General features: G+C 41.2%; 1 protein-coding gene across 5 annotated transcripts in view; it reads right to left on the reverse strand.

The window, feature by feature from the left end:
* CSMD1 (CUB and Sushi multiple domains 1) overlaps positions 1-13,855 on the reverse strand; it is a 2,059,554-nt gene that overhangs the window by 336,914 nt on the left and 1,708,785 nt on the right. For 4 of the 5 annotated variants that reach the window (XM_011534752.3, NM_033225.6, XM_011534753.4 and 1 more), the window contains one exon: positions 11,870-12,072. In XM_011534752.3, coding sequence (XP_011533054.1) covers positions 11,870-12,072 — 203 coding nt within the window. Of the gene's footprint in view, positions 1-11,869; positions 12,073-12,197; positions 12,444-13,855 lie in introns of those variants that run through there. The other variant, XM_011534754.2, reaches the window with a different exon arrangement.

A 13,855-nucleotide genomic window follows, 5' to 3' on the forward strand; every position in this document is an offset into this window, starting at 1 on the left:
ATTCCATTGATCTATATCTCTGTTTTGGTACCAGTACCATGCTGTTTTGGTTACGGTAGCCTTGTAGCATAGTTTGAAGTCAGGTAGTCTGATGCCTCCAGCTTTGTTCTTTTGGCTCAGGACTGACTTGGCAATGTGGGCTCCTTTTTGGTTCCATATGAACTTTAAAGTAGTTTTTTCCAATTCTGGGAAGAAAGTCATTGGTAACTTGAAGGGGATGGCATTGAATCTGTAAATTACTTTGGGCAGTATGGCCATTTTCACGATATTGATTCTTCCTACCCATGAGCATGGAATGTTCTTCCATTTGTTTGTATCTTCTTTTATTTCCTTGAGCAGTGGTTTGTAGTTCTCCTTGAAGAGGTCCTTCACATCCCTTGTAAGTTGGATTCCTAGGTATTTTATTCTCTTCGAAGCAATTGTGAATGGGAGTTCACTCCTGATTTGGCTCTCTGTTTGTCTGTTGTTGGTGTATAAGAATGCTTGTGATTTTTGTACATTGATTTTGTATCCTGAGACTTTGCTGAAGTTGCTTATCAGCTTAAGGAGATTTTGGGCTGAGACAGTGGGGTTTTCCAGATATACAATCATGTCGTCTGCAAACAGGGACAATTTGACTTCCTCTTTTCCTAATTGAATACCCTTTATTTCCTTCTCCTGCCTAATTGCCCTGGCCAGAACTTCCAACACTATGTTGAATAGGAGTGGTGAGAGAGGGCATCCCTGTCTTGTGCCAGTCTTCAAAGGGAATGCTTCTAGTTTTTGCCCATTCGGTATGATATTGGCTGTGGGTTTGTTATAGATAGCTCTTATTATTTTGAGATACGTCCCATCAATACCTTATTTATTGAGAGTTTTTAGTATGAAAGGTTGTTGAATTTTGTCAAAGGCCTTTTCTGCGTCTATTGAGATAATCATGTGGTTTTTGTCTTTGGTTCTGTTTATATGCTGGATTACATTTATAGATTTGCGTATATTGAACTAGCCTTGCATCCCAGGGATGAAGCCCACTTGATCATGGTGGATAAGCTTTTTGATGTGCTGCTGGATTCGGTTTGCCAGTATTTTATTGAGGATTTTTACATCAATGTTCATCAAGGATATTGGTCTAAAATTCTCTTTTTTGGTTGTGTCTCTGCCAGGCTTTGGTATCAGGATGATGCTGGCCTCATAAAATGAGTTAGGGAGGATTCCCTCTTTTTCTATTGATTGGAATAGTTTCAGAAGGAATGGTACAAATTCCTCCTTGTACCTCTGGTAGAATTCGGTTGTGAGTCCATCTGGTCCTGCACTCTTTTTCGTTGGTAAGCTATTGATTATTGCCACAATTTCAGCTCCTGTTTTTGGTCTATTCAGAGATTCAACTTCTTCCTGGTTTAGTCTTGGGAGAGTGTATGTGTCCAGGAATTTATCCATTTCTTCTAGATTTTCTAGTTTATTTGCATAGAGGTGTTTGTAGTATTCTCTGATGGCAGTTCGTATTTCTGTGGGATTGGTGGTGATATCCCCTTTATCATTTTTATTGTATCTATTTGATTCCTCTCTGTTTTTTTCTTAGTCTTGCTAGTGGTCTACCAATTTTGTGGATCCTTTCAAAAAACCAGCTCCTGGATTCGTTAATTTTTTGAAGGGTTTTTTGTGTCTCTATTTCCTTCAGTTCTACTCTGATTTTAGTTATTTCTTGCCTTCTGCTAGCTTTTGAATGTGTTTGCTCTTGCTTTTCTAGTTCTTTTAATTGTGATGTTAGGGTGTCAATTTTGGATCTTTCCTGCTTTCTCTTGTGGGCATTTAGTGCTATAAATTTCCCTCTACACACTGCTTTGAATGTGTCCCAGAGACTCTGGTATGTTGTGTCTTTGTTCTCGTTGGTTTCAAAGAACATCTTTATTTCTGCCTTCATTTCGTTATGTACCCAGTAGTCATTCAGGAGCAGGTTGTTCAGTTTCCATGTAGTTGAGCGGTTTTGAGTGAGATTCTTAATCCTGAGTTCTAGTTTGATTGCACTGTGGTCTGAGAGACAGTTTGTTACAATTTCTGTTCTTTTATATTTGCTGAGGAGTGCTTTACTTCCAACTATGTGGTCAATTTTGGAGTAGGTGTGGTGTGGTGCTGAAAAAAATGTATATTCTGTTGATTTGGGGTGGAGAGTTCTGTAGATGTCTATTAGGTCCGCTTGGTGCAGAGCTGAGTTAAGTTCCTGGGTATGCTTGTTGACTTTCTGTCTTGTTGATCTGTCTAAAGTTGACAGTGGGGTGTTAAAGTCTCCCATTATTAATGTGTGGGAGTCTAAGTCTCTTTGTAGGTCACTCAGGACTTGCTTTATGAATCTGGGTGCTCCTGTATTGGGTGCATATATATTTAGGATAGTTAGCCCTTCTTGTTGAATTGATCCCTTTACCATTATGTAATGGCCTTCTTTGTCTCTTTTGATCTTTGTTGGTTTAAAGTCTGTTTTATGAGAGACTAGGATTGCAACCCCTGCCTTTTTTTGTTTTCCATTTGCTTGGTAGATCTTCCTCCATCCTTTCATTTTGAGCCTATGTGTGTCTGTACCCGTGAGATGTGTTTCCTGAATAGTGCACACTGATGGGTCTTGACTCTGTGTCCAGTTTGCCAGTCTGTGTCTTTTAATTGGTGCATTTAGTCCATTTACATTTAAAGTTAATATTGTTATGTGTGAATTTGATCCTGTCATTATGATGTTAGCTGGTTATTTTGCTCGTTAGTTGATGCAGTTTCTTCCTAGCCTTGATGGTCTTTACAATTTGGCATGATTTTGCCGTGCCTGGTACCTTTTGTTCCTTTCCATGTTTAGCGCTTCCTTCAGGAGCTCTGTTAGTGAAGGCCTGGTAGTGACAAAATCTCTCAGCATTTGCTTGTCTGTAAAGTATTTTATTTCTCCTTCACTTATGAAGCTTAGTTTGGCTGGATATGAAATTCTGGGTTGAAAATTCTTTTCTTTAAGAATGTTGAATATTGGCCACCGCTCTCTTCTGGCTTGTAGAGTTTCTGTCAAGAGATCTGCTGTTAGTCTGATGGGCTTCCCTTTGAGGGTAACCCAACCTTTCTCTCTGGCTGCCCTTAACATTTTTTCCTTCATTTCACCTTTGGTGAATCTGACAATTATGTGTCTTGGTGTTGCTCTTCTCGAGGAGTATCTTTGTGGCATTCTCTGTATTTCCTGAATGTGAATGTTGACCTGCCTTGCTAGATTGGGGAAGTTCTCCTGGATAATATCCTGCAGAGTGTTTTCCTACTTGGTTCCATTGTCCCTGTCTCTTTCAGGTACGACAATCAGACGTAGATTCAGTCTTTTCACATAGTCCCATATTTCTTGGAGGCTTTGCTCGTTTCTTTTTATTCTTTTTTCTCTAAACTTCCCTTCTCGCTTCATTTCATTCATTTCATCTTCCATCACTGATACCATTTCTTCCAGTTGATCGCATCGGCTCCTGAGGCTTCTGCATTCTTCACGTAGTTCTGGAGCTTTGGTTTTCAGCTCCATCAGCTCCTTTAAGCACTTCTCTGTATTGGTTATTCTAGTTATACATTCTTCTAAACTTTTTTCATAGTTTTCAACTTCTTTGCCTTTGGTTTGAATGTCCTCCTGTAGCTCAGAGTAATTTGATTGTCTGAAGCCTTCTTCTCTCAGCTTGTCAAACTCTTTCTCTGTTCAGCTTTGTTCCGTTGCTGGTGAGGAACTGTGTTCCTTTGGAGGAGGAGAGGCACTCTGCTTTTTAGAGTTTCCAGTTTTTCTGCTCTGTTTTTTCCCCATCTTTGTGGTTTTATCTACTTTTGGTCTTTGATGCTGTTGATGTACAGATGGGTTTTTGGTGTGGATGTCATTTCTGTTTGTTAGTTTTCCTTCTAACAGTCAGGACCTTCAGATGCAGGTCTGTTGGAGTACTCGGCCGTGTGAGGTGTCAGTCTACCCCTGCTGGGAGGTGCCTCTCAGTTAGGCTTCTTGGGGGTCAGGGACCCACTTGAGGAGGCAGTCTTCCTGTTGTCAGATCTCCAGCTGCATGCTGGGAGAACCACTGCTCTCTTCAAAGCTCAGATGGAAATGCAGAAATCACCCATCTTCTGTGTCGTTCACGCTGGGAGCTGTAGACCGGAGCTGTTCCTATTCGTTCATCTTGGCTTCTCCGACTGCAAGTCACATCTTACATGGTGGCAGAGAAGAGAGAGCTTGTGCAGGGAAACTCCCATTTATAAAACCATGAGATCTCATGAGTCTTATTCACTATCATGAGAACAGCAGAAGAAAGACCTGCTCCCATGATTCGATTACCTCCCACTGGGTCCCTCCCATGATACGTGGGAATTGTGGGAGCTACAATTCAAGATAAGTTTTGGGTGGGGACACAGCCAAACCGTATCATTATTAAAATAGCAGTTACATATTTATTAAAGGCTTTACTATGAAAATTTTGAATTAAGCTCAGCTCAATTACAAAGCATATTGTTTACAGTAGATGAAGAGGTATTCATTATGCAAAGTCATACTAATATTTTCAACATTTATGCACGTGGAAAATTTTCACGCATATCTAATTAGCAGACACTTGTTGGATATTGATTATATGTCATGTTCTAGGAAAACAAAGACCATCTGCCCTCAAGTAACTTAATCCACTGTATTAATAAAATGGTAACCCACAATGGGCTAAGCACTATTATAGAAGTATAAACATTGTGTTTGGGGACTGGAAGTGACAATGTGATTGTCTTCGCTAAAGAAACCTTTGAATGTGAGATAGGCACACTGGAATTTCTTGTGCAACAAGGCGGGGAAGGTCAGTCCAGTGTGTAACAGGAACACACATCCAAGCTGAGAGAGGCTAGCATCTGAGTAGAGGTTTCTGTAGGCTTTGCCAGAGTGGAGGATGGTGATTGAGGATGATGTTGAAAATTGCTTAGGGGAAGTTTTCAGAGGGTTTTGTGGCCTTATTTTTGGCAGTGGGGAGAATGAGAAGTCACCCTGGCTGAGATGAGAAGATAGGGGAGAGTTCTAAGCAGAAGTGAGGCGTTGCCCACGTTGCTGCGGAAAAGGTTCACCTGGGTGCCTGTGCGCAGGTGGGCCAGAAAGTACGCAGGTGCATGAAGAAGGAAGCCCGTGAGCAAGGCAGGGCAGCTCAGACCCCCAGCGGCGTAGACCAAGGCGGCAGGGCACAGGTTGGGAGAATTGGATTTTGGATCTATTTTGAATAGGGACTCCACTGAATGCATTGTTGGATTCTCTGTGTGGTGTGAGATCTACAGAGGTCTAAAAATGGCTCCAAAAGTTTCATCCTGACAGCCTGAGCCACTGGCAGGATGGAGTTGACTTTACCAAAACCGGGAAGATGTCAAGGGGCCCAGGATTGGGAAAAGCATGAACAAGGACTGTGGTTGAGTTTCAGGTGTTGAGTTGCCTCTCTGCATCTCTGCAGCAAAGCAGAGACATCAAGAAGGCAGGTGGACACTCAGGGGAGAAGCCTGGGAGGCTGGCTGGTGTTTCCTTAGGAGTACCAGAATTGGACATTTATTAACTAGTAATGGGATTGGGGGGATGAATTATGTCCAAGGGTTACATTAAACCACATGGAATTGCCAACATTCCATCATTTCTTCCCTACAAAAGTGACAATTTTATACAGTTCAAATTGGTACACATGAAAAGCTGAGTAAAAGAAAAGTAAGCAAGCGTCATTTCTGCAGAAACCTTCGTGGGTATCTTAATGTTTGTTGCTTCTTAAAAAATATATGGATAGAGAAGAAAGGGAGACCCAAGGACAAGCCCTCCTGGCATCTGATCTTTAGAGTTTCAAGGGAAAAAATATATGAATCAGCCAAAGAGCCAATGATAGAGTGACCCTTGGAATAAGGAGGAACAAGAGAGAATAATAAGATGAAAAACAACTGAAGAAAGAGTTTCCAGAAGAGAGAGTCAAATAAGTGTTTAAAAAGCTCCAATGTAACATGGAATTACAAGATAGAGAGGTAGTGCAACCCTGATGTTAAATTATTTTTTAAAATGTACTTCAAAGTGTGCTTGGGAAAAATATAGTAATTCAAATGTGTCCAAGAAAACAAATATTCACATAACTATTTTCTCTCCAATAATTTAATCACACCTCTAATGCTTATTTCACATGTTACTGACATAGAATCAAGTAAAAATAGCCTACTAAGAAATCTCATTTAATACAATTGAATAAATGTCATTTTTGCTTGGAAACAATGGCCACACTTAAAACATCAATCATATGAGGAAAACATTTCTTTTTGAGTTCTATTTAAAAATTTTTAAAATCATAACTAATTCCAATGTTTTAAATTATAAAATTAGCATGGTTTATGAATCACAACACAATCTAATTTATAGGTAAAGTTCCTCGTTTTTTTTTTGGTCCCAGGTTCATAAAGACAAAAAAATGAGAGATTTCCATCTTCCCACCCATCCTCCCACCTACAAAAGAGTAGTGATGGCTTCTTGGGTGTGATGGACAGGCTGTTTTGCACTTTGTGAAGAGTTTCCCACCTTTGGTTTGGAAAGACACCAGCTTGATTTAGTTTCATGGCTGGATTCGCCAGTGAGGGGACGAATGTGGGTGGAGTGAGAGGGACATAACAGCCCAGTTTCTTCCTGCAGTGAAGCAGGGTAACTGGGTCAGTTTCTTAATTACGACTGAGGGGTTATAGGAACCTTCTTTTCTAAAACTAGAAAACCAGGACATGATTTATTCCAGGTGTAGGAGTCAAATGTTTATCAGGTTCTCAGGGAGATGGAGACTGGTGCCCGATTCTCACTGGTTCCCAGAAGTGGCAAGCTACATTTTGTGGAGAGTAGCTGAATGACTGGCTTTGGGGTGGTCAGACCAGCGTCTTCGTGTTCCAGCCTGAGATCCTTAGAGAGAAACACATGACATGAATTACTGTGGCCGCCCAGACCGTTGGCCCCCAAATGAGAGCACGAGGGAATATAATGACTAGTGGAGAGGCAGGACCATGTCCCTCTCTGGACTCACCACACTGAATCATCCAGCAACTCCCTGGCCATCCAAAATTGGCAGCAGATTTTAAAAATAGACTGGTATTGGACTTCTTGTCAACTCGAATGCATGGGAGCTAGAACTGGATATAATTTGTCTTAGGAAAATGACTTTTATTTTACAGCCCTGATTGTAGTACACTCACAGGCATTTCATATGCTTGCCAAGGTCCTTTACAGAACTGTATTTTTTAAAATGCCACATGGTACGTATGACAATCCCAGTGGGATAATTTGAGAGTTTCTTGCCTAAGGTTGGGTTTGGAAATTCTAGGAAGAAGGGATTATATTAGTCTGCTCTCATGCAGCTAATAAAAACATACCTGAGACTGGGTGATTTATAAAGGAAAGAGGTTTAATTAACTCACAGTTCAGCATGGCTGGGGAGGCCTCAGGAAACTTACAATCATGGAGGAAGGTGAAGGGGAAGCAAAGCACCTTCTTTAGAGGGTGTTAGAAAGGAGAAGTGCAAGCAGGAGAAATGCCAGACCCTTATAAAACCAACAGATCTCATGAGACTTACTTATTGTCATGAGAACAGCATGGGGGAAACTGCCCTCATGATCCAACCACCTCCACCTGGTCCCACCCTTGACACATATGGATTATGAGCATTACAATTCAAGGTGAGATTTGGGTGGGGACGTAGAACCTAACCGTATCAGGAAGGTTACTTGGAATTAGTACAGAGATCCGGAAAGAGATGGTCAATGCAGCAGCTTGAGCAAAGCCGTCCGTGTTGATCTTGGGGCACATCGGCCCCCGGGGTACCTGAAGAGAGAGGTACTAGGCCTCTGTGCCCTGACATGCCCTCCTGCCCCATCTCTTCACCCATGCTGGGGCTTCTTATTGGAATAACCCAATACAGGTTTGCCTCGAGAGCCACAGAGTAGTTAAAGGAAGAGAAAGTAGTAGATTTGGGGCCAAAGGGAAAATAAATGACATCCAGCGTGGAATTATGGAAGACAGAAATGTCCTTAGAAATTGATACTCTATCCTCATTTCATAAATAAAGTAAAAATAACAGAGACAAAAGGTCAGTCTCAAAGCATTAGAGGTCAAGATAGAAACTCACATTTCCAGAGTTGTAGTCTAGACTATGCTTTTTAAATGTTGTACCACTCTAAGTTTTTATATCTTGTTTTTCCTTTCAATAAACTTCTAAAGACAATCTTGCAGAAAATCCTTCATTTAAATGCCTCAGAGTCAATGTTATATTCTAGCCCCTAAATGAGTATTTCTGAAAATTTATACCAGAATTTGGATTTATTAACTAGTGATAGGGTTGGAGGGATGGATCCTATCCAAGTGTTACGTGAAACCATGTGAAATTGTCAACATTCAATCATTTTTTACGTATAAAAATGACAATTTCATATGATTCAAACTAGTACACATGGAAAACTGAGTAAAAAATAGTAATTGTCATTTCTGTAGAAACTTTCATGGTGTCTTCATGCTTATTTCTTACTAAACACTAATAATTAATTATATGAGAAGAAACATTTCCATGATCCTCAAATAATTATAATAAAGGGTCTTCTTCTTTTTTTCTACCCAAGTTAGAAAGATGTTCTCTGAAGAGAGAATCATGAATATATAGAAAAAAAAGAAGTGATGGCCAGGTTTCAACAGTGATTGTTAAAACAGGAAGATTTTAAAAGGCCAGGAGTAAAATGAAGTACATTCTTTCCACATAATCCATGAACCCTCTTCTTAGGTATCTAGTCAGGTGAACTGAAAACTTACGTCCACACAAAAACCTGCACACAGATGTTTAGAGGCAGCTTTAGGCATAATTGCCAAAATTTTGAAGCAACCCGTATGTCCTTCAATAAGAAAATGGGTAAACAGGCTGGGCGAGGTGGCTCACGCCTGTAATCCCAGCACTTTGGGAGGCTGAGGCAGGTGGATCACCTGAGGTAAGGAGTTTGACACTAGCCTGGACAGGATAATGAAACCCTGTCTAGGCTAAAAATACAAAAAAATAGCCAGGTGTGTTGGTGCGTGCTTGTAATCCCAGCTACTCGGGAGGCTGAGGCAGGAGAATTCCTGGAACCCAGGAGGCAGAGGCTCCAGTGAGCCAAGATCATGCCACTGCACTCCAGCCTGGGCGACAAAGCAAGACTCCATCTCAAGGAAAAAAACGGGTAAATAAACTGTGGTACAACAAGTCAATAGAATATTATTCGCTGCTAAAAAGAAATGATCCGTACAGCCATGAAAAGACCTGGAGCTTGAAAGTGTCTTACTAAGTGAAAGAAGACAACATGAAAGGCCACACACTGCGTGATTCTAACTCTGTGACTTTCAGGAAAAGACAAAACTATGGAGACAGTGAAAAGAGTGATTGCTAGGAATTAGGAGGAAGGAAGGGATGAACAGGCAGAACACAGGGAATTGTTAGGGCAGGGAAATGACTGTTGGTGATGTTATTACTACAGATGCATTTTTCCAAACTCATTGATATGGTTTGGATCTGCGTCCCCACCCATGTTGAATTGTAATCCCCACTGTTGGAGGTAGTGCCTGGAGGGGTTGATTGGATCATGGGGGTAGTTTCTAATGGTTTAGTACCATCCCCCAGTGCTGTCTTCATGATAGAGTTCTCAGGAGATCTGATTGTTTAAAAGCACGTAGCACCTTCCGCTTCACTCTGTCTTTCCCCTTCCCCGGTCGTGGAAGATGTGACTGCTTCCCCTTTACCTTCTGCCATGACTGTAAGTTTCCTGAGGCCCTCCCAGCCATGCCTTCTGTACAGCCTGCTGAGTTGTGACTCAATTAAACCTCTTTTCTTGATAAATTACCCAGTCTCAGATAGTTCTTTACAGCAATATGAAGATGGAATAATATACCCATGGAATGCATAACACCAAAAGTGAACCCGGAGAAAACTGTGGATATCGGCTGATAATGATGGGTCAGTGTAGGTTCATTGATTGCAACAAATGGACCACTCTGTGGGGATGTTGACAGGGAGGAGGCTGTGTGCTGTGGACAGAGAGCACGTGGGAACTCTGTGCCTTCTACTCAATCTTACTGCCAGTGCAAAACTACTCTAAAAAAATAAAACCTGTTGAAAAAAATGCCTGGAGAATACAGAATGGAAAGAAGAGGAAAATGAACATAATCTCATAACTTTCTCAACTTTTTTGTTTTGCTAAATAAGGCCAATGAATCACAATTCTACCATCTGCTCTTGCCACCATTTCAAAAGATTAAGAAAATTTTATATCACAACAAAAAACAAGAGTGATATAATTTTGGAGTAAAGGACTTTTTTTCCCCCAAGGCAGGATAGTTGGAACACTCTTACTTTCATATTTTTTGTGAAGGACCAGTGAAAATTTTACCATGTACAAGTACTATTCCACAGGCACGTGTTTGCAAATCACTGTTCAGAGCACAGTGAAACCAGAGGTAAGAAATTGTGCAGACTATAACCAGAGGTAAGAAATTGTGCAGACTATAACCTCAATTATATTAGCAACCTTTTAAAGCATTAAACTGACCTAACTCAATTTTCTTATGTAAATCCTAAATATGACTTGTCAGTGAGCTGCCAAGAGATAAATTGAGTCTGAATGTGTTTGTGTGCAAATTCCACTTGTTTTATGATGATGGCTGACCTTGTGTGCTGCCCAATAATATGGCATCTCTCCACGGTGCCATCCGAAGGGCACTAAAAGGCTGAACTGCCACAAAATATCTCCACTCCTTCCTCCTTCGGAAACCTTTCATCAAAAATGGGCTAGACAGCAAAAATGGCAACTATCTTTAGGAGATTATAGTTCACGTGTGCAGATGTGGTTTCACACTAGTAATTCAGCAGAGGTTCCTCTGTCATATTAGCTTCTTGAAACTTTATCCCTAAGGTGGAAAAAAAATTCACGGACCGTCCTGAACCGGGAAGTTGCAAGCAGAGAATCAAAGCGTGTTTGATTAGCAGGTTGTTTGCAGAGAGACTTCATTACATAAAGAAAGTGTCAGACTGGGGCATGTAGGGAACCTGGAATCGGGGCTGGGTTAGGGGAGCCCTGAAGATAGGCTCTACATTTATGTAGAGACCCACACCTGTCTTGCATCCAAGTCTAGAAATTTACTGACTAATTGAAACCTTTAAAGTCGTACGTTTTTTTTTTTATGTAACTAAGTAGGTCCATTGCTGGTCCTGATCTTATAATGAAAAGAATTCCCTAAAACAAAATTTTCCTTTGATACTGACAGTGTTCAGAACCACTCCAAAATATGCAGTTTTGAGGAAACTGCAGAAGCAGGAAAGCCACTCCAGCCTCTACTTGCCCCTTCTGCCCTGAAGCAGGGCATAGAATAATTCTCTGGCCTTCCTTGGAAGCAGGTCATGAAACCTTCATTCCAGAAGGACACTCCCAGGATGCAGAGGAAAGGAATGAAGACATAGACACACAGGGAAGAAGCTGAGCAAAGGAGACTTAAGTTCCTCCCCGTTTATCACCACTAAATTCTATCTTTTCGTCCTCTAATCATACTTCTGCACGACTATACATTAAAACACACAATTTTCTCTCTTTCTTTGGGTCTTCATTTCTGAAGGTTCCAGTGGCATGCAAAATGCACATCAAATGAGTTTGGTTATGCATTTCTCTTAAGCTGGCTTCTGTTATCGTGGCCTCAGCCATGAACCCAGCAATGGGGGAAGAGAACTCTTCTCTGCAACATGCATTTTCCTAACTTCAAATTAGGCTCAATAAATTGCATCTGTGTAAGGAGACGCTGGTGAATATAAATGGAGGGAGATCTGTGTTCATGACAAGACTTTGATATCAAGGTAAAGAAGAAGCACGCTGTGCCACCTACTGGAGAACTGGATGGAGAAGCCAGACTTGCTGATGAAGAAGTCGCTGTCGAACTGCAGGGTGAGTGAGTTGAAGGTGCTGTGGATGTCCTCCGGAAGGGCGGAGCCACTCCACTCCTTCAGCAGGATGTCACTGTCCACCGGCCCGTCCCAGACCTTGAGGATGTCGTGAGCCATCTCCGTGTCGAAAACAATGAAATGGAGGCTGCAAGAGAGAACACAGTAGCGCTACTTGCCGTGCATCGAGCATGTCCTGACCCCATAGCTGTAAAGTAAGCAAGCTCATTTCGCTTTCACACAACCCCCACCAACATGTGCCTCGGTACTTACTGTCTGACAATGAAGGATGAGGAAAATGAGGCTCACCGAAGATAATTCAGGAGTGTAAATTAGGATAAAGCACACAGGACCTCAGTCTGTCATGGACGCAGAGAGATAGGTGAGCTAGATGCTGAGCTATCCATTTTAGGATAAAAGGATTGCTTTTGAGACTTCCAGATCTCTGTATAATTTAAGCTTTCTACGGCACACAAACCAAATATAAGCTTGGCATTGACAGATGTGTTTGAAGCAGATGGAAGGCAGCTTCGGTGCAGTCAGTGTTGTTCACGAAATGCCCCGCTAGGTGGCAGCAGCCACAGCAGGAGAAAAGAGCTTACTCCATTACGACCTTTTCTACCTGTGTCTGAATGGTCTGCTCTTGTGTTGTACTTCTTTCTAAAAATTATATTTTAAAACTTCATCATTTAAAATACCAACAGAAAGGCAAAAATGGGTAACATAAACTCCCTTCTTTATAAAATTTTACCATACTTCTATTAGACTTCCAGGTATTTTTCAGAGTGACTTAAAAATCTCTATGCCTAAGGACTCACATTCAGAGGCAGCAGGATCTATGTAGTCCTATTTAGGGCCATTGAAGCAAGAAGGGTTTAGTTGAAACACCAACAAAAATTAGCAGCCCTGAATGGGTCTGATTTACAGTTTTTTATTTCCTGCGTATTGCACACCGATTACAAGGGAGGTAAAGTCACAGTGGACGACAAACAAAAAAACTACCCACGAGTCTCAACTGCTTTGTTTTGCATATATTACATGTTTAAAGAAAACACTTATGTCACCCTGTGTAAGGTATGGAATGTGTGGTGTATTTTTAAAATAATCAAGATAAATCCTTAAATATAGAGAAAAGTATAGCAGATAGTAGATCTTTATTTTCCTACATTTTGCCCTATTTTTGTCAGAACTTTTTTTTTTTTTCTAGAGATGGGATGTCGCTCCCTCTCCTAGGCTGGAGTGCAGTGTCATGATCTTGGCTCACTGCAACCTCTACTTCCTGGGTTCAAGTGATTCTCCTGCCTCAGCCTCCCAAGAAGCTAGGACTACAAGCATGAGCTGTCATGTTCAGTTATTATTAGTATTATTATTTGTATTTATAGTAGACATGGGGTTTCACCAAGTTGACCAGGCTGGTCTTGAACTCCTCACCTCAGGTGATCCACCTGCCTCGGCCTCCCAAAGTGCTGTGATTACAGGCATGAGCCACCACGCCCAGACCAGAACTTTTTATAAAACAAAAAATCTTATACATGCAACAATTTTTTGCCTCCACTCCACCAAATCATTGGTTCTTTCTCTTATCACACACTCTGAAGTTGTAATGTAATATCCCCATTTGTGTATATATATATATATTTTATTATTATTATACTTTAAATTTTAAGGTAAATGTGCACAACGTGCAGGTTTGTTACATGTGTATACATGTGCCATGTTGGTCTGCTGCACCCATTAACTCACCATTTAACATTAGATAAATTTCCTAATGCTATCCCTCCCCACTTCCCACAACAGGCCCCAGTGTGTGATGTTCCCCTTCCTGTGTCCATGTGTTCTCACTGTTCAACTCCCACCTATGAGTGAGAACATGAGGCGTTTGGTTTTTTGTCCTTGAGATAGTTTGCTGAGAATCATGGTTTCCAGCTTCA

This window comes from Homo sapiens, chromosome 8 (assembly GCF_000001405.40).
Source record: "Homo sapiens chromosome 8, GRCh38.p14 Primary Assembly".
NCBI classification, from domain to species: domain Eukaryota; kingdom Metazoa; phylum Chordata; class Mammalia; order Primates; family Hominidae; genus Homo; species Homo sapiens.